The 18,873-nt window shown below is 36.9% G+C and overlaps 1 protein-coding gene across 24 annotated transcripts in view; it reads left to right on the top strand.

Moving 5' to 3' along the window:
• Positions 1-18,873, top strand: part of EML5 (EMAP like 5) — a 180,523-nt gene that overhangs the window by 138,599 nt on the left and 23,051 nt on the right. For 14 of the 24 annotated variants that reach the window (NM_183387.3, XM_017021066.3, XM_017021064.3 and 11 more), the window contains 5 exons: positions 4,429-4,443; positions 7,400-7,408; positions 9,844-9,922; positions 11,333-11,462; positions 15,448-15,546. In NM_183387.3, the coding sequence (NP_899243.1) occupies positions 4,429-4,443; positions 7,400-7,408; positions 9,844-9,922; positions 11,333-11,462; positions 15,448-15,546 (332 nt within the window). The remainder of the gene's footprint in view (positions 1-4,428; positions 4,444-7,399; positions 7,409-9,843; positions 9,923-11,332; positions 11,463-15,447; positions 15,547-18,873) is intronic. The other 10 variants (XM_047431057.1, XM_017021065.3, XM_047431056.1 and 7 more) reach the window with 3 other exon arrangements.

The following is an 18,873-nucleotide window of genomic DNA, read 5'->3' as shown; positions in this document are numbered from 1 at the left end:
GAACTAGAGAAGCAAGAGCAAACAAATTCAAAAGCTAGTAGAAGACAAGAAATAAAGATCAGAGCACAACTGAAGGAGAGAGAGACACAAAAAACCCTTCAAAAAATCAGTGAATCCAGGAGCTGGTTTTTTGAAAAGATTGACAAAATAGATAGACTGCTAGCCAGACTAATAAAGAAGAAAAGAGAGAAAAATCAAAAAGACACAATAAAAAATGTTAAAGAGGATATCACCACTGATTGCACAGAAATACAAACTACCATCAGAGAATGCTATAAAGACCTCTACGCAAATAAACTAGAAAATCTAGAAGTGGATAAATTCCTGGACACATACACCCTCCCAAGACTAAACCAGAAGTGGAATCCCTGAATAGACCAATAACAAAGTCTGGAATTGAGGCAGTAATTAATAGCCTACCAACCAAAAAAAAGCCCAGATGGATTCGCATCCGAATTCTACCAGAAGTACAAAGAGGAGCTGGTACCATTCTTCTGGCTATTCCAAACAATAGAAAAAGAGAGACTCCTCCCTAACTCATTTTATGAGGTCTGCATCATCTTGATACCAAAACCTGGCAGAGACACAACAAAAAAAGAAAATTTCAGGCCAATATGCCTGGTAAACATCGATGTGAAAGTCCTCAGTAAAATACTGGCAAACTAAATCCAGCAGCACATCAAAAAGCTTATCCACCACAATCAAGTCGGCTTCATCCCTGGGATGCAAAGCTCATTCAACATACCAAAATCAATAAATGTAATCCATCACATGAACAGAACCAATGACAAAAACCACATGATTATCTCAATAGATGCAGAAAAGGCCTTCGATAAAATTCAGCACCCCTTCATGCTAAAAACTCTCAATAAACTAGGTTTTGATGGAACATATCTCAAAGTAATAAGAGCTATTTATGACAAACCCACAGCCAATATCATACTCAATGGGCAAAAACTGGGAGCATTCCCTTTGAAAACCGGCACAAGACAAGGATGCTGTCTCTCACTACTTTGATTCAACATATTGTTGGAAGTTCTGGCCAGGGCAATTAGGCAAGAGAAAGAAATAAATGGTATTCAAATAGGAAAAGAGGAAGTCAAATTGTCTCTGTTTGCAGATGACATGATTTTATATTTAGAAAACTCTATTGTCTCAGCCCAAAATCTTCTTAAGCTGATAAGCAAGTTCAGCAAAGTCTCAGGATACAAGATAAATGTGCAAAAATCACAAGCATTCCTCTACACCAATAATAGACAAACAGCCAAATCATGAGTGAACTCCCATTCACAACTGCTACACAGAGAATAAAATACCTAGGAATACAACTTACAAGGGATGTGAAGGACCTCTTCAAAGAGAGGTACAAACCACTGCTCAAGGAAATAGGAGAGGACACAAACAAATGGAAAAACATTCCATGCTCATGGATAGGAAAAAATCAATATCGTGAAAATGGCCATACTGCCCAAAGTAATTTAGAGATCACTTTTTAATAAAGTCTCTGAGCTAGATGACAGATTAAGAAATAAATTGTGAAACTAGTGTTTCAAAATCAAAGGTGGTAAACAATAAAAAGGGATATGGAGCATTGAATGGCATGGACTTCAGAAGCAAAGAGGTTTAAAGAACAAAAAAGGAAAAGATCCAGAAACAGTAAGAAGGAACAGAGGGAGTGGGAGGTGAGAACAAGGTTGTGGTGAGGAAAACTTTATTATGAGAAGTTAGTGGACAATTTGAGGGAGAAATTAAAAGGGAATTCATTCACAGTTGAACAGGATTTGTAGAAAATTCAAGCGAATTTGTGGCCATTTAGGATAGTGCTGAAGAATTTTGGAACTCAGAGAGATAGAAATGACTACAGGAAAGCTTCGTCAGAGGGATTTGAGTTTGCACCTATGGATTTTATATTCGGGGAAAGGGATGAAGTTAAGGTGAAAAACACGTTAGTAATGGGGAAGGGAGAACTGAGAGATCTTGTAAATTGACTGACCCCCGCGTTGCCAGGGAAGTCTAGATGGAGTGTTAAGGGCGCAGTGCCTCCTCAGCTCCTTTTCCAGGTGTCGTTTGCTGATGGTATACCTCATGTACCTCAGATCATAGCAATGGGAGGTCACCTAAGGAAAGGGGATGGAGAGTGATCATCCAGTTTTTCATTATGTATAAAGAGGCAAAGTATTAAATTAGGGATATTTTTAAGAAAGCACAGTATACCATAATCTAAGTACTTGTACAGAATTCCATGTTTCAAGTAACTTGCTAGAATGCAGCATCGTATAGTGCAAAGGACATGAATTCTGGAGTCAGACAAATGGGTAAAATACTCATTTTTTTCATTACCAGTTGTGTGAGTTTGAAAAATTATTCATTCTTTCTGAACCTCAGTTTCCTCAGTGGCAAAATGAACATTATAATCCCTAACTTATGGTATATTTCAAGTTTTAAATGAAATAATGTAAATCAAGAATTTAGATAGTAGGTCTTCATTAATGACACCTTATCCCTTGGAATGAAATGAAAGTTAACTGAGGAGATACCTGGTAAATACTTAAACATTATTTCTGAAATTAAATATTCACAAAGCAATAAGCGCTACATATGTATTTATTAGATAAATACAGATAAATATGAAAATATAATATTATTTAAATATTCTAATTAGAATATTTGAAGTGTAGTGTTTAATATGACTTAAGGAAAATTATGTCTCCTAAGTAATGAAAAGTGAAAAGTGTTCTATGGGGAAGAAGGGGCTCTAGACATTCCCATAAATTTCTTTCATTTGTTATATTGATTTTTTAAAAAAATTATTTATTGGATAAATTTGGTATGTCAGAAAATGTGACCTAATTTTAATCTGTAGTCTGCTTCATTCACGGTAAAACACTTAAATGTAAATTTCCACCCATTGCTGAAGTGAGGCATGTTCTGACAGATGGAAATATTTTACTACTCATGAAGAATGATTAACACTGTCATAACTGAAATCTTTGATGTTAGCTTGTATATTCTGCAGCTAACTTTTTCAAAGTAATTTTTCAAATTGCTTTGCATTTTGTTCTCAATTTACTTTACAATTTCAACCCTGCTAAATATTTTGAAAATGACAAGGTGTGGGGAGGGAGAGAGAGGGTCTGTTGGCCCCCGTGGCAGAGTCCAAGCTCTACTCTTTGCCTTAAAAAAAAAAAAAAAAAAAAAAAGAAAATGACAAGGCAGAAGTCATCAATGTGATTTCATTTTCACAAAATGAAAAAAAATCAAAGGAGATTACAAATGAAGAGGTTCATATCTCTTTTACCAACTTAGAATATTTGTGAGGAGATAATATGGTTCATGGTTTATTTAAATAATTGCTTTTTAGTAACATATATTACTGTCATAAATATGAAATAAAGCACTTTATATGGAAAACAGGCCAGGTGCTGTGCCTCATGCCTGCAATCTCAGTGCTTTGGGAGGCTGAAGTGGGAGGACTGCTTGAGACTAGGTGTTTAGCACCAGCCTGGGTAACACAGCAAGACCCCATTTCTACAAAAAATAGAAAAATTAGCCAAGAATGGTAGTACATGCCTGTACCAGGAGGTTCCTACTCAGGAGGCTGAGCAGGAGGATTGCTTCAGCCCAGGAGTTGGAGGCTGCAGTGAGCTATGATCGCACCCTTGCACTCCAGCTATGGCAGCAGAGTGGGATCCTGTCTCTGGGAGAATAAATAAATGAAAAAAAAATTAAAAACAATTAAATACTTATCAAATATCCACTTAAAAGGAAAAATGCTTCTGATGACAATAACCATTCTATTTGGTTGATACTTTCGTGGATGTTTTTCCTAAGTGATAATTTTACCTTTTTCTTTTTTAATAAATGTTTTTGTTTTTATTTTTTTGTTTTGTTTTGTTCTTTTGAGACAGAGTCTTGCTGTGTCGCCCAGGCTGGAGTGCAGTGGCACGATTTTGGCTCACTACAACCTCCAACTCCTGGGTTCAAATGATTCTCCTGCCTCAGCCTCCTGAGTAACTGGGATTACAGGCAGGCACCACCACGCCCAGTTATTTTTTGTTATTTTTAGTAGAGACGGGGTTTCACCATGTTGGCTAGGCTGGTCTCGAACTCCTGACCTCAAGTGATTCACCCACCTCAGCCTCCCGAAGTGCTGGGATTACAGGCATGAGCCACCTTGCCCAGCCAATAAATGTTTTTATAACAAATATTATGTATTTAAAGTAGTTAATTTTTGTCAAATTTCCAGTATTTGTGAATAAAAATATTTAAATCAATGTTTAAACCAATGTGACATAAGTTAGACATTTTTGTATTTCCTTAAAATTCTGTTGACATGTTGCCTTTCTTCTGTTTGCTAAAATGCTGTATTCTATTCATCATCAATTTTTATATGTTTTCCTACTTTTTTCCCCCTTGCTCCTTTTGAAGGCAGGGAGTAGTAAGGTAAGTGTTTTATAAAAGAAAATATTTTATTCAAAAATTTACCCTTTATTTTATTCTTTATGGTATTTTAAGGTATTTTTTCCCTATAAAACATTTAACTACATTTGTCAACAAAGCATTATAAAATGAAGTAGGACAAATTCTATAAAAGAGTTGCATTTTTAGATAGCATATATGGTTGTTATTATAAGGGTCTTCATTATGATAAATTGTTTTACATATGACTGTACAAACTACTACAATGCAAATGAATAGTTTTGGTTTTCTTTAAGTTTCAGAGGCTCGTAAAAACAAACCTAACCACACATATATTTAAGTGAAAGACTATTCAATTTTAAACCTGTTAACATGATTTAATGCATGTTTAATCCATTCATTTAAAAAGATGAAAAGAGGGTAACTATGGTATTTGTATGTTTAATAAAATGACATGTAGGTAAAGACTCTTTGGGTTACTTTTATATCTACCTTTGGTGATGTGAAAATGTCTTGAAAGAGTTTCTGAAACGACAGTGTGGAAATGGCTAGTCTGTTTTATAAATTAAAAAAGGTATCATGGCTGGGCACGGTGGCTCAGGCCTGTAATTGTGGCTCAGGCCTGTAATCTCAGCACTTGGGAAGGCCGAAGTGAGAGGATTGCTAGAGCCTGGGAGTTCAAGACCAGCCTAGACAACATGATGAGACCCTGTCTCTACAAAAAATAAAAGTAAAAATAAATTAGCTGGGTGTGGTGGCAGCCCTGTGGTCCCAGCTACTCAGGAGGCTGAGGTGAGAGGGTCTCTTGAGCCTGGGAGTTTGAGGCTGCAGTGAGCTGTGATGGCATCACTACACTCCAGCTTGGGCAACACAGCAAGACCCTGTTTCGGGGGTGGGGGGTGGCGGGAGGAAGGTATCACTAGGAAAATGCTGGGAGATAAGGATGAAAACAGTAGACTTGAGACCAGATGGTGCAGAAACTCAAATAATAGGCACCTGTTAATATTATATCTACAGCAGGAATCCATCATCTGTTTTAAGCAGAGTGGTGTGTACAAAGATATGAGTTCAGAGTATGAAGCAACCTCTAAAATGGGCCATAAAATCTTATACTATTTTACCAGAAATAAAGCACCCGGATCTAGCCTCACATCTAGAATAGCTTACTCAGTACTGATCTCTACATTTTAAAGGAGACTTGGATAGTTTATAATGGGCTAGAAGAAAGCACAGGAGGAAGGGAGGTTGGGAGGCCACTTCATATAAAGAATAGTTAATTGACCGGGTGCAGTGGTTTATGCCTGTAATCCCAGCACTTTGGGATGTTAAGTTTGAAGGATCAGTTGAGGCCAGGAGTTAAAGATCAGCCTAGCCAATCTGATGAGGCACCGTCTCTACAAAAAAAATTTTAAAAATTAGCAGGGTGTGGTGGTGTGCACCTGTGGTCCCAGCTACGTGGGATGCTGTGGCAGGAAGATGTCTGGAGCGTGGGAGGTCAAAGCTCAAGTAAGCCATGATCACACCACTGCACTCTAGCTTGGGTGACAGAGCAAGACCCTGTCTCAAAAAAATATAATAATTATTATTCTGGGAATCTTGTTTCAAAACAAGAAAACTAAATGGAGATATCATTGTTATCTTGGATATGAATGGCTTTTTATGTAGAAGAGACCTGTCACAAGCAGTATTTATACAGAGTTTAGATGATTAGTTGTCATCAAAGCTGTACAATGATTGTTCTAGACATGTAAAGAAGGTTCCTGGTCTCAGTGGGAAAATGGATGAAATGACTTTCATGATTCCTTCCAATTTTGTTTTGATCATTATGCTATTAAGAGAGAAAAAAAACTTTTTAAAGATTACTTTTTTTACTAGCAAAATTCTAAATTCAGCATAGTCCCGAGTGACTAATTCTGCCTGCTTGGATTCACTGACTGGGGAACCCTCTTAGGTCAGAACAGGTGGAACTTAGGCTCTTTAGACAATTTCCTTTGAAGTATCTCCAGTGCTACCAGCTTTTTAAATTAACATTTTAGTGCCAGTGCCCATTCTTAAAAACAAAAATAAGCTTAAATGTTTTGTTTAAAATTCAGATTATATTGCAGAAAAATAAGAATGGCAAGCTTTAAAGTTCACAACATGAAATATATTGAATTCTCATTTATTTGTTTTTTTCTTTTTTCACCTTTCTTGTGATTCCCTGTTATTAATTAATGGAGTAACCCTTTTTTTTTTTTTTTTTTTTTTTGAGACGGTCTCACTCTGTTACCTAGGCTGAGTGCAGTGATGTGATCACAGCTCACTGCAGCCTTGACCTTCCAGGTCAAGTGATTCTCCCACATCACCCTCCCATGTAGCTGGGACTATAGGTGCCACAGGCCTGGCTAATTGTTGTGTTTTTTATAGAGATGGGGTCTCACAGTGTTGCCCAGGCTGGTCTCAAACTCCCAGGCTCAAGCAATCCTCTTGCTTTGGCCTCTCAAAGTGCTAGGATTACAGGTGTGAGCCACTGTGCCCAGCCTTATGCCTTTTCTTTATTCTTTTTTCTTTCTTTTTTTTCTTTTTTTTGAGATGGAGTCGTGCTCTGTCGCCCAGGCTGCAGTGCAGTGGCGCATGCAGTCTTGGCTCACTGCAACCTCCGTTTCCTGGGTTCAAGCAGTTCTCCTGCCTCAGCCTCCTGAGTAGATGGGATTACAGGTGCGTGCCACCATGCCTGGCTAATGTTTTTTGTATTTTTAGTAGAGACGGGATTTCACCATGTTGGCCAGGCTGGTCTCGAACTCCTGACCTCGTGATCCTCCTGCCTTGGGCTCCCAAAGTGCTGGGATTATAAACTAAAAACAACAGGCCTTTAATATTATGCAATATAGCTGTCTGCATTAAACTTGTTAAAATATTTTATTACAGGAGGTATTTCACTAGTGTTTTCAATTCAAATTTATGTTGTAATCTTTTTCCCTCTTTATCTGCTGCTGAAAAGAGGTTCCAGGTAATCCTCTCTTTGCTGTGTTTACAAAGCCTAACTTTGTATTTTTGTCATCTTCCATATTTAGCATTAATGGGATACTGTTACTTAGTGTTCTTTACCTCTCTTCACAGTTTTGCACATTTTTTTCCTTTGGAATTGGTATCACTGAAATGAATAACATCTTAATTATTGGACTTACTCTGTATAAGTAACTGCTTTACTAAAACTTATCCATTCAACTTGTATAATTTTATAAGTTGTATAATTTTATTTTCAGCAATGATATACCTTATATAAATGATATTTATAAAAATTAAAATATGCTTAAATGATCTTTATAAAAATTAAAATGTGGTTAATTGTTATATAGGATTATATAGATAAAAATTACCTGTTTATTGTTTGGGTTACATTTAAAGCTGTCAGACAGTAACATAGAATAATATTCACCAACAAAATTGACTTGGGGAAAAAAGCAAGGCTTCTATCATTCTTTGAAATGGTCCTGTCAGAAATATTTTTAAATGTTAAATATGATAAATTCAGTTTTATTTTTACTTGTGGGCATCCAAAAAAGTATATGAAGAAGGTTTGAAAACATTGTTTATATATTCTTGAAAAGGATGTTTACTTTTTATGACACCAGTCATGCTTATATATTTTACATGCTGCCTCATATTGCGTATCAACATCCCATTCATTTCTTATTGGATGTTTAAGATATAGCACATTTACTTTTATTGATGTTTAACTTGACAACCATTTTGAAAATGCAAGTATATTTTATGCCTTTAATTTTATGAGACTTGTTCATAAATGTTGGAGTCTTTTATATGGGAAGGTTAATTTGTATTATTTCCTGATTTAGGTGTTACAAATTGAATATTAACTTAAAATTTGGAAAGGGATTGGTGCATGATTGATTTAAATTCAATGTTCCGGTTATTCAGTATTTGAATAATGGTTGAGATAAAAATAATAAACTAAATTGCATTTTTTAAAAAAATTAAAGGTTCTAGAGAAGAGCTTCTACATTTAAGTAATTCAAAATGTGAACTCAATATACCTGTTGGGACACGGCACATTATAAATAGATCCTGAACAGAGAAGAGGGGCTAGATTTGAGATTTGACAGCTACTGTGTAGGTAAAGTTGATACATTTTTAGTAAATAGTGAGAATAAGGGAAGAGAAAGAGTTGGAAGCAATAATAATAGTTATTTCCTTTTATAGTGTGTTGTATGGTTTACAGTGCTTTGTGACTATAAAATGTCTTCCTTGAGTAACCATCTGATGGCAATGCCATTAACCAGTACTAGGGACTTCAGCAAGTAGAGAAGGTGAAGGGCATGGAGAAACAGATAAATACAAATTTGAACTCGGATGTGATTTATGTTGCTAACAGTGTGGAACGTTCATAGAAATATTACGAAAATTCACTTTCAAGAAGGATGTATTCAATACCTGCCATGTGAAGATACTCTGTTAGATACTTTAGAACAGTAATCCAGGCTTTGTTGTTAATGTACCTATCAAGAAATATTTGAGTATGTTAAATTAACATTTTCACATTTGTTTATAAACAATCTACTCTTGTGCTGTTATTTACATTATGACACGTACACCAAAGAAATTAAAAGTAAGGCTGTGCACAGTGGCTCACTCCTCTAATCCCAGCACTTTGGGAGGCCGAGGTAGGCGGATCACTTGAGGCCAGGAATTCCAAACCAGCCTGGCCAACATGGCGAAACCCCATCTCTACTAAAAATACACACATTAGCTGAGTGTGGTGGTGCACGCTTGTTGTTCCAGTTACTGGGAAGGCTGAGGCACAAGAGTTGCTTGAACCCGGGAGGTGGAGTTGCAGTGAGGCGAGAATGTGCCACGGCACTCCAGCCTGGGTGACAAAGTGAAACTTGGTCTAAAAAAGAAAGAAAGAAAGAAGAGAAAAGGCTGGGTGTGGTGGCTCACTCCTGATCCCGTAATCCCAGCACTCTGGGAGGCCCAGGCGGGCCGATCACCTGAGGTCAGGAGATCGAGACCAGCCTGGCCAACATGGTGAAACCCCGTCTCTACTAAAAAAATACAAAAATTATCTGGTGTGGTGGCACACACCTGTAATCCCAGCTACTCGGGAGGCTGAGGCAGGAGAATCGCTTGAATCCAGGAGGCAGAGGTTGCAGTGAGCCAAGATTGCACCACTGCACTCCAGCATGGGCGACAGAGTGAGACTCCGTCTCAAAAAAAATAAAATAAAATGAATAAAAGTTGTAATATTTTCTTTCTACCTTCCTGCTTTAGAAGCTCTCAAGATGAAGAGGGCAGTCTAGTGGACCACAGAATGGGTCATCTTTGGGAAGGTGTGACAAGACACCTCTCTGGGAGGGATGGTGTGAGAGGCTCAGTGAAGGCACTGAGTGCTGCATGCCTTTCCTCCTCCCCACTTCTCTGTTGCAGGCCTCCAGTGAGCAGGGCCCCACCACAGCCAGAGAAACTCCAGACAAACAATGTAGGCAAGAAAAAGAGACCTATAGAGGTAAGGAAAACTCACTCTCCAGTGTTACTGAAATGTATCCAGAGTTCTTTTTTATAAAACACCCAAGTTTTGTCATTAGTTTTCATGAAAATCAGTGTATTTGAGTACTGTTTTTTGTTTGACTTAATTCTTATGTAAGTCTGAGTTTTGGATGGATATTCTCTGTTTCTCTTAATTTTTTAAATTAGTCTTCCTTTTACTTTTCTGTGAATAATACCCTAATTGAACTGTATCTCAGAGGAGTCCTAAACCTAAGTATGTGTGAATGATCTTTTGCTTATAGAAGCACAGACACCTTGGCAGTATCTAAAATTTAGTGGCTTAAATTTGTAAATTAAAGAGTAAGTACTTATACCAAATAGGAATTTTGACCCTGTGCGATATATTCACTGTACAGGGTTCATGAAGCCTGTTTCTCCTTCTGTCTCTGCTTCCAGCCAAAGTAACCTTACGTAATAATTGAGGAAGAAGGAAGGCTCTTTAGGCATTTCATAATCCCGGTAGCAGTAGCGAACAACCAAACTCTGCTAAATCAAACGTAAACAAGGCGTAAAGCTGTGCGATGGTGATTGCTGTCGTTCCCTCCCCAACCTAGTCCTACAAAGTCAATGAAATGTACATTTTCAGTTGCAGAATTATCTGCCAGAACTTTAGCATGAATTGTCAGAGACAGTATACTTAGTTTTTATCCACCGATGATGAATGTACTGTTTGAGTTCTTCGAAGTATGTGACTTGGACATAATTTATCCTGACTCTTGTATGTAGGTCAGATACTTTGATTAACAATGAACATAAAATTTTCTTCTTTTGGACACAAAAAATACAGTCCCTCTATGTCCATGGGGGATAGATTCCCCCTGGGGATGCCAAAATCCACAGGTGCTCAAGTGCCTTATATAAAATGGCATAGTAATTTGCATATAACCTATGCACATTCTCCTGCATACTTTAAACCATCTGTAGATTACTTATGATACCTAATACAGTGTAAATGCTGTATACATATTTGTTATACAATATTGTGTTTTAAATGTTATTTTTTATTGTTTTTTTCCCCAATATTTTCTATCTGGAATTGGTTGAATTCTTGGATATGTAAGGCCAACTGTACCTCAGTGTTTACATGTGAAATCTTAAGAACTAAAGTTCTTGGAATCAGACTACCTTGTGATTCCATTTTCCTTTTCATAACTTTATATAGAAAAGTATAGAATGTATGTTTAAGCTGCCCAAAACAGGTTATATAAAGAAGTATGAGTAGCTTAATTTTGTATATTAAGTTTGTAAAACATCAAAAATGCATACTCCATTTTGACTGCAGACACTACTAGTATTACGTATACAACAAAACAGTGGTGAACATTTATACATGAGGAAGAATATAATGGTTTTATTATTATCATTATAGGACCTTGTGTTGGAGCTCATTTTTGGTTATCGAGGCAGAGACTGTAGGAATAATGTTCACTATTTAAATGATGGTGATGATATAATTTATCACACTGCATCTGTTGGAATTCTGCACAATGTTGCTACAGGTAGGAAACCCTGATTCTCCATCCCTCTATCAATTTTTTTAACTTAGAAATTTTGATCTAGCAGCTTAAAATCTTTGTTAAAGCTATAAATAGTAATTGAAATGTAGGAGAAACACTCCAGAATAAAAATATTTCATATTTCAGAACTTTCTAGTAATATTTCAAGTAAACAAATTTCAGTTTTAAGAGAGTATAATACAGCAGAAAAGGAATTCATAATGCAAAGTGCTCATAAGTCTCTATTAGAAGTAGAGGTTTTACTGTATGTTAAAACCATGTTTTATGTTGAAACCGTTTGTAACTTTAATTCTATTTTCCCATAACCTCATGATGAGAATAGATGGTTTGGATGGTGGTTTCTGATAGTGATTGAATGTAGCATGTTGGGTGAGTGATTGCTGGGGCTGGAAGTGTTCTTACTGAGGCCTTGGAAAGCCAAGGAAGAAAGGCTAAGAAAGCTGTTTATCTGTGGCTCTATGATGATACCTTGTTTGATCCAAGAAGGTGAGAAAATTATTTCTTGATGTTCATTTAACTGATTGGGTTATTCAGTTGGATTATTCAAGAGCAAATAATGTTCTGTTAGCATCATTTCATGAACAATGTGATAATGCTACTAGTAACATTAAGTATTTAATTTTGAATTGTTTTATTACAATTTAATGGCAAACTTCATAAAAGTCTGAAAGTTAGAAGTAAAAATAAAGGTTATCTAGTTCATTCTGGTTTTCCTCTGATAGCTTCATCCTGAATGGGTAAAGAGTAGATTGATGATGTGAATTATAATCCACCACCTCTTGTCGGTATTAACCATCAATATGATCTTTCTATTTTGGTTTCATAAAGAAAAGGATTCACCAGGATCACACAGAAATCAGTGGCAATTTTCTATTTAATAATTTGGGCCATTTAAAACATACTGATTAGAGAGAAAAATCCTTCTTAATCGAGGTCTGTCTGTCCTTCAGAGAGAATGAGGAAGAGTAAGATAAACAAGAAAGGAATGTATGTGTAAACTCTCATGTTTATACTTATAATTTTATTTTTACTTTTCTGATTTGTAATTAATCACTTTTCTAGTGGTGGGGTGTCTAGAGAGAGGGCAGATGGAGACTAGGCCACCTGCTTTAGTTTTTATTATATTTGGTTTCTCACCAGTTTGAGGATACATTGTGCATAGTGTAGGAAGTGGGTTTGCCATAAATGCTTCATTATTTTGAGGTGTGTTCCTTCAATTCCTAGTTTGTTGAAGGTTTTTAACATGAAAGGGATGTTGGATTTTATCGAAAGCATTTTCCATATCTGTTGAGATAATCATATGGTTTTTGTTTTTAATTCTGTTTATATGGTAAATCACATTCGTTAATTTGCATATGTTGAACCAACCTTGCATGCCAGGAATGATGAAACCTGCTTGATCATGGTGAATTAATTTTTTGATGTCCTGCTGGATTTTGTTTGCTAGTATTTTGTTGAGGCTTTTCGCATCTATGTTCATCATAGGGATGATGTTTTGTATGGGAATGATGTTTTGTGTGGGATGTTTTGTAGTTTTCTATGGGAATATTGGCCTGTAGTTTTCTTTTTTCAAATGTCTTTGGCAGGTTTTTGTATGAGGGTGATGCTGGCTTCACAGAATGAGTTAGAGAGGAGTGCCCACTCCTCTATTTTTTAGAATAGTTTCAGTAGGATTGGCACCAGCTTTTCTTTGTATGTCTGGGAGAATTCAGCTCTGAATCCATCTGGTCCAGGGCTTTTTGATAGGTTTTTTATTACTGATTCAATTTTGGAACTCATTATTGGTCTGTTTAAGATTTCAGTTTCTTCCTGATTCAATCTTGAGAGGTTGTGTGTTTCTAGGAATTTATCCATCTCCTCTAGATTTTTCTTCTTCTTCTTCTTCTTTTTTTAGAGGCCCACAACTAACATCATAGCCTCTAGATCTTCTAGTTTGTGTATTTAGAGGTGTTCATAATAGTCTCTGAGGGCCTTTTGTGTTCTTGTGGGATTGGTTGTAATGTGATCTTTGTCATTTTTTATTGTGTTTATTGGGATCTTCTTTTTTTTGTTAAGCTAACTACTAGTGGTCTATTGATCTTGTTTATCTTTTCAAAAAACCGATTTTTTTATTTTGTTGATTCTTTGTATAGATGTTTGGGTTTCAGTATTGTTCATTTCTGCTCTGATTTTGTTATTTATTTTCTTCTGCTAGCTTTGGGGTTACTTTGTTCTTGTATTTATATTTCCTCCAGGTGTGATGTTAGATTGTTAATTTGGGATCTTTCTAACATTTTGAGATAGGCATTTAGCACTGTAAGCTTTCCTCTTAACATTTAACATGCTTTTGCTACATGCCAAAGATTTTGGTATGTTGTGTCTCTGTTTTAATCTACTTTGAAGATTTTTTTTAAATTTTTGCCTTAATTTCATTGTTTACCCAAAAGTCATTCAGGAGCAAGTTATTTAATTTTTACGTAATTGTGTGGTTTTGGGAGCTCTTCTTGGTATTGATTTCTATTTTGCACTGTGGGTAGAGAGTATGGCAGAGATGATTTCAATTTTCTTGAATTTATTGAGACTTGCTTTATGGCTGAACATGTGGTCAATCTTAGAGTATGTTTCATGTGCAGATGAGAAGAATGTATATTCTATGGTTGATGGGCAGAGTGTTCTTTCTGTTATGTCCAATTGGTCAAGTATTGAATTCAAGTCCAGAATTTCTTTGTTAGTTTTCTACCTTGATGATCTAACACTATCAGTGGGTTGTTGAAGTGCCCCACTTGTTTGATTTTTGTTTTGCTTTTTGGGGGGCCTAGTAGTATTCATGGTTTCTCTATCCTCTGGATCCAACCTACTGCTCTGAACTCATTTTCCACCTCTTCATTTTACTTCCACAAGTCTATCTTTTTTCCCTTCTGCATGGACTACTGTCATAGCCTTACAAGGTCTCTTCACTGTTACTACTACCAGATGAATCACATTATACTTATTTGATCAAAAAACTTCAATTCCTGCTGGGCACGGTGGCTCATGCCCGTAATCCCAGCATTTTGGGAGGCTAAGATGGGCGGATCACTTGAGGCCAGGAGTTTGAGACCAGCCTGGCCAACACAGCAAAACCCCGTATCTACTAAAAATACAAAAAATATATAGCTGGGCATGATGGCACACACCTGTAATCCCAGCTACTTGGGAGGCTGAGGCATGAGAATTGCTTGAACCAGGGAAGTGGAGGTTGCAATGAGCCAGGATTACACCATTGCACTCCACCCTGGGCAACAGAGTGAGACTGTCTCAAAAAAACAAAAACAGATTGCAGTTCTTCCTCCACTGACATAAGAACAAATATAAAATGTGACTCAATATGGCCCAAATTATTAAATGGAAAATTACTACTGGTTTCTGTGTGACTCTGGCAAATCCTTTTCTTTGAGAAACCAAAACAGAAGGATCGTGGGCTGACACTCAAAATCCTCCCTAACTCTAGTCCCAAGCTGCCTTTCCAACCATGTTACTCATCTTTCTTCTTCATGACCCTACACTTCAGCCAAATGAGCCTGTTATATGGATACACAACACTTTCCTGCCTTTAGGCCTCTGCTTAAAGTGTTCCTCTGTCTAGAAGGCCCTTCCCCACTGACTTTTACATTTGTAAAATCTATCTGGGTCAGTCCAGGAGTACCATATTCCCATGATGAGATTAATCTTTTCTGCTCTGAATTCCCATAGCATTTTGATCCCAACTCTCTTGTGGCACTTGGAATCTTCAGCCTTGTACTGTATTGTTTATCCCTTTTACGGCTCTATCCCATTACATAATTCTGAATCATTTTTCTATCCTTATGATGCTGTATACATAGTAAGTGCTCAAAAACATGTTTTGAATAAGCAAATAAGTTAAAGAGTAGTTTATTGTTCTGGGTAAGTGCTTTTGGCTGTTACATCTTAAAATTTTCAAACTTAATTCTCAAATTCTTTTTTGTAGGTTCTCAGAGTTTTTATCAGGAACATAATGATGATATTCTGTGCCTCACAGTAAACCAGCACCCCAAATTTATCAACATAGTGGCAACTGGCCAAGTAGGTATGTTTCTGTATTTTAAAAAGAAACAATTTAAAGCATTTGCTTTGTTCAAATAAATTCAATATCCAAGGAAAAAATCAAAATTTTATTGATTTATCGATTGTTCAAAATCTATGTATACATAAAGCCCTACCCAATTATACCATATTATTTGCTTTCAGGTACCTTTCTCTCACTCACTCTGGTTATCTGAGTTGGTCTTGACAATCCAAAATTTAAAGGAAACTATTGTATGGTAGTTGAAATAGTTGGATTTAGTCCTTTAGCAGGAATTTCTGGTCAGCAAAAAGGTTTAAGTCAATAGCATATAAAGCAGAAAAGAGGAGTTTGAAGAGGAAGTAGTAAACAAAGGGAAGCTAAGAAATAACTAGACTGGGCGGGGTAGAACCCTGCTTCCGTGGGGGTTCAGGCTGGAAAGAAGAGAGGACCCAAGTCTGTTTGTTGTTGGTAAATCCCTTCTGCCTTTTTCTTTTCTTTGTCATTGACCTAATTCACCAACTGTCTTGAGCTGTTTTGAAATATACCTGTATTCTTTTACCTCTGTGAAAAACTGTTAAACAAAGGCCATAACTCTACAGCCAAACTGATGAGAGGATGGCAGGTCTGTTTAGGACATATCTGCCAACCTGTGATTACTAAATATGAATATGGCAGAAGTTTCATAAACTTCAATACGTTTGTAAAATTTATTGAAATCATTGAGTTTGTTGGAATTTATTGGGCCTTGATGGCTAAGCTAGCTTTCCAGGTCCCTTTTCTTCTTGACTAAGATAATTTATACTTTTAATATCTTTATTTTTCATGCGAGTACTAAGTTGATAGTCAGGAATTTGTTGTCTGGGTTGCCTGGTTCTGAAGCTATGCCACATAGACCCTTGTGTTTTTCCTTTTTGTACAGTTTTCTACTTTTAAAAGTAAATGGAACATTACCCATTATACAGAAAATATTCTAATCTTTGCATATAAATACATAGGTCTAGCTTCTGTTTGTGCTAAGATTTTGGAAAGTGAAGTCTTATTTTCACTGTGCACAAGGAACAAGGCCCATCTCCTTGAGGAATGAAGAAACTATGTTACCTAAGTACCTAGCTCAATGCCTCTTGGTACATAGTTACTGTTTAGTTAATTTTTATTGAGTAAATTCACTTACTCAACAAATTTACTGAACACCTGCCATGTGCGAGGTATTGTTTTAGGTGCTGGGGATATGGGCTACTTACAAAAAGGCAAAATCCCTGTATTAATGGGATTTACGTTCTGCAAATAGAATTCTAGAATATGGTTCTTTCATTTCCCACCTTGGCTTCTCCTTTTCTTTCCTTTGCTCTCCCTCTGTTAGGCAACTTATTTATCATTTTAGTGCTGTGGTTTTCTTTCTTAGTTAAGAAATGTCATGGTCACAAATTAATCTTTTAGGAATTTGGCCCTTTTCTCCCCTTTATTTTGAAAGACAACACTATAGAAAATATGAAATGTTTAATTATATCCCTCCTCTTTCTTTCCAAGTCAAAATCTGGGGAGTACAGAGGTAAATTTTAGATTATATATGTAGCTCCATTCTTTACACCATTTGTACCCTTCCAGAAGACAGATAACAAAAATTACTGGTGACTAATTAAGATAGACTCAAGGGAAGACTAAAGAATAAGAAAGGATTTTATTTTTCTCCTCACACATAAAGAGAATTGTTTTGTTACTTTGCTGTCAGGCTTGTTTAATACCCACAAAACACAAAACAGCATTTACAATGTTTATTGTTCCTTCTGTTAAAAATCATATAGATCATAGAGTAATTGAAATGTTTGATTTTGTACTATTTTAGCCAGTTACATTCAAACTTTTTTCCTGGATAGAATCTTGGAATTTTAGGGCCAAGTATATCATTTTGTCCTCTCTGTTACAGTGTGTTTGAACCCTGCTGCCACTTAATACCTAATGAAGTAAACGTTTCCCTGGGAAGCTTAGTTATAAAGTGGTTCTTCATATACAACAGAAATCTGTCTGTGATTGCTACTCTTTGGCCCTCATTCTTGGTGTATCTAGAACATCTAATCACATTCCCATGGCATTATCTTCCAGTTTTGGAGACAGCTAGCATATTCTCCCTGAGTCTTATCTAGTTCTTATCTTTTATTTGTTTCTTTGTTTGTGACAGAGTCTCGTTCTGTTGCCCAGGCTGTAGTGCAGTGGCACAATCTCGGCTCACTGCAGCCCCCACCTCCCGGGTTCACGCCATTCTCCTGTCTCAGCCTCCTGAGTAGCTGGGACTACAGGTGCACGCCACCATGCCTGGCTAATTTTTGTATTTTTAGTAGAGACGGGGTTTCACCATGTTGGCCAGGATGGTCTTGATCTCTTGACCTTGTTATCTGCCCGCCTTGGCTTCCCAAAGTGCTGGGATTACAGGCATGAGCCACCGTGCCCAGCCTTTTGCTTCTCTTTTAAAAGGTCTCCTTTGGCACCCTCCAACTACATTCCATGGAACAAGGTGTACATGAGAGCAAGGGGATTGCTTTCCATGGGGGAGCCTACTTCTCCACTGGACCATGTTTTGGGTATATGAAATCCCAGAATTCTCTACCAGATGGTCCTGAACCTACTAATGGCCCTGCATGAGCCTTTTCTCTGCGTCTGTCCTCCCAGTGACAGACTGTACAACCAATGTGTATACTCTTGAGGGGTGGCCAAGCTGTTCTTTGTGTAGGGGTGGATGGAGTTCTAATGCAGTAGCTAGGATAACCACATGTCTTAAGAAATTTGAGCTGCCATGACAGATACCACAGAGTTTGTAGCTTAAACAACAGAAATGTTATTTTTCACAGCTCTGGAGGTTGGAAGTCCAAAATCAGGGTGCCAGCATGGTCAAGTTGTGGTGAGGGCCTTCTCTGTATTTGCAGATGGCTGTCTTCTCATTATATCCTCACATGGTGAAAAAAGATTATCTTTCTCCTGTCTCTTATAAGAACACTAATCTCATTGTGAGGGCTCCATCCTCATAACCTTCACACCTCCTAATACCATCACACTGGTGATTAGGGTTTCAGTATATGAATTTTGGGGGAAGACAGACATCCAGTTCATAGCACCACACATGAGCTTCCATGGTTCTTTGTGGTGTGGGATGGAAGAGAATGAGACAGGTTGTCTCATGCTGCCCAAACTCTAAGGAGTTCTAAATTGGTATCTGCCTTCCAGATCATTATAGGAGTGTACTCATCAAGGTAAGAGGCTAGAATATATTTTATTTGATAAGTTTTATCTTGATGGATAGCTTTAAAATATTTAGGCCGATGACATTCAAGCTTTCATTTGTACTTCTGTCCCAGA

This window comes from Homo sapiens, chromosome 14 (assembly GCF_000001405.40).
Source record: "Homo sapiens chromosome 14, GRCh38.p14 Primary Assembly".
NCBI classification, from domain to species: Eukaryota; Metazoa; Chordata; class Mammalia; order Primates; family Hominidae; genus Homo; species Homo sapiens.
This window is presented reverse-complemented; position numbering and strand designations above follow the sequence as displayed.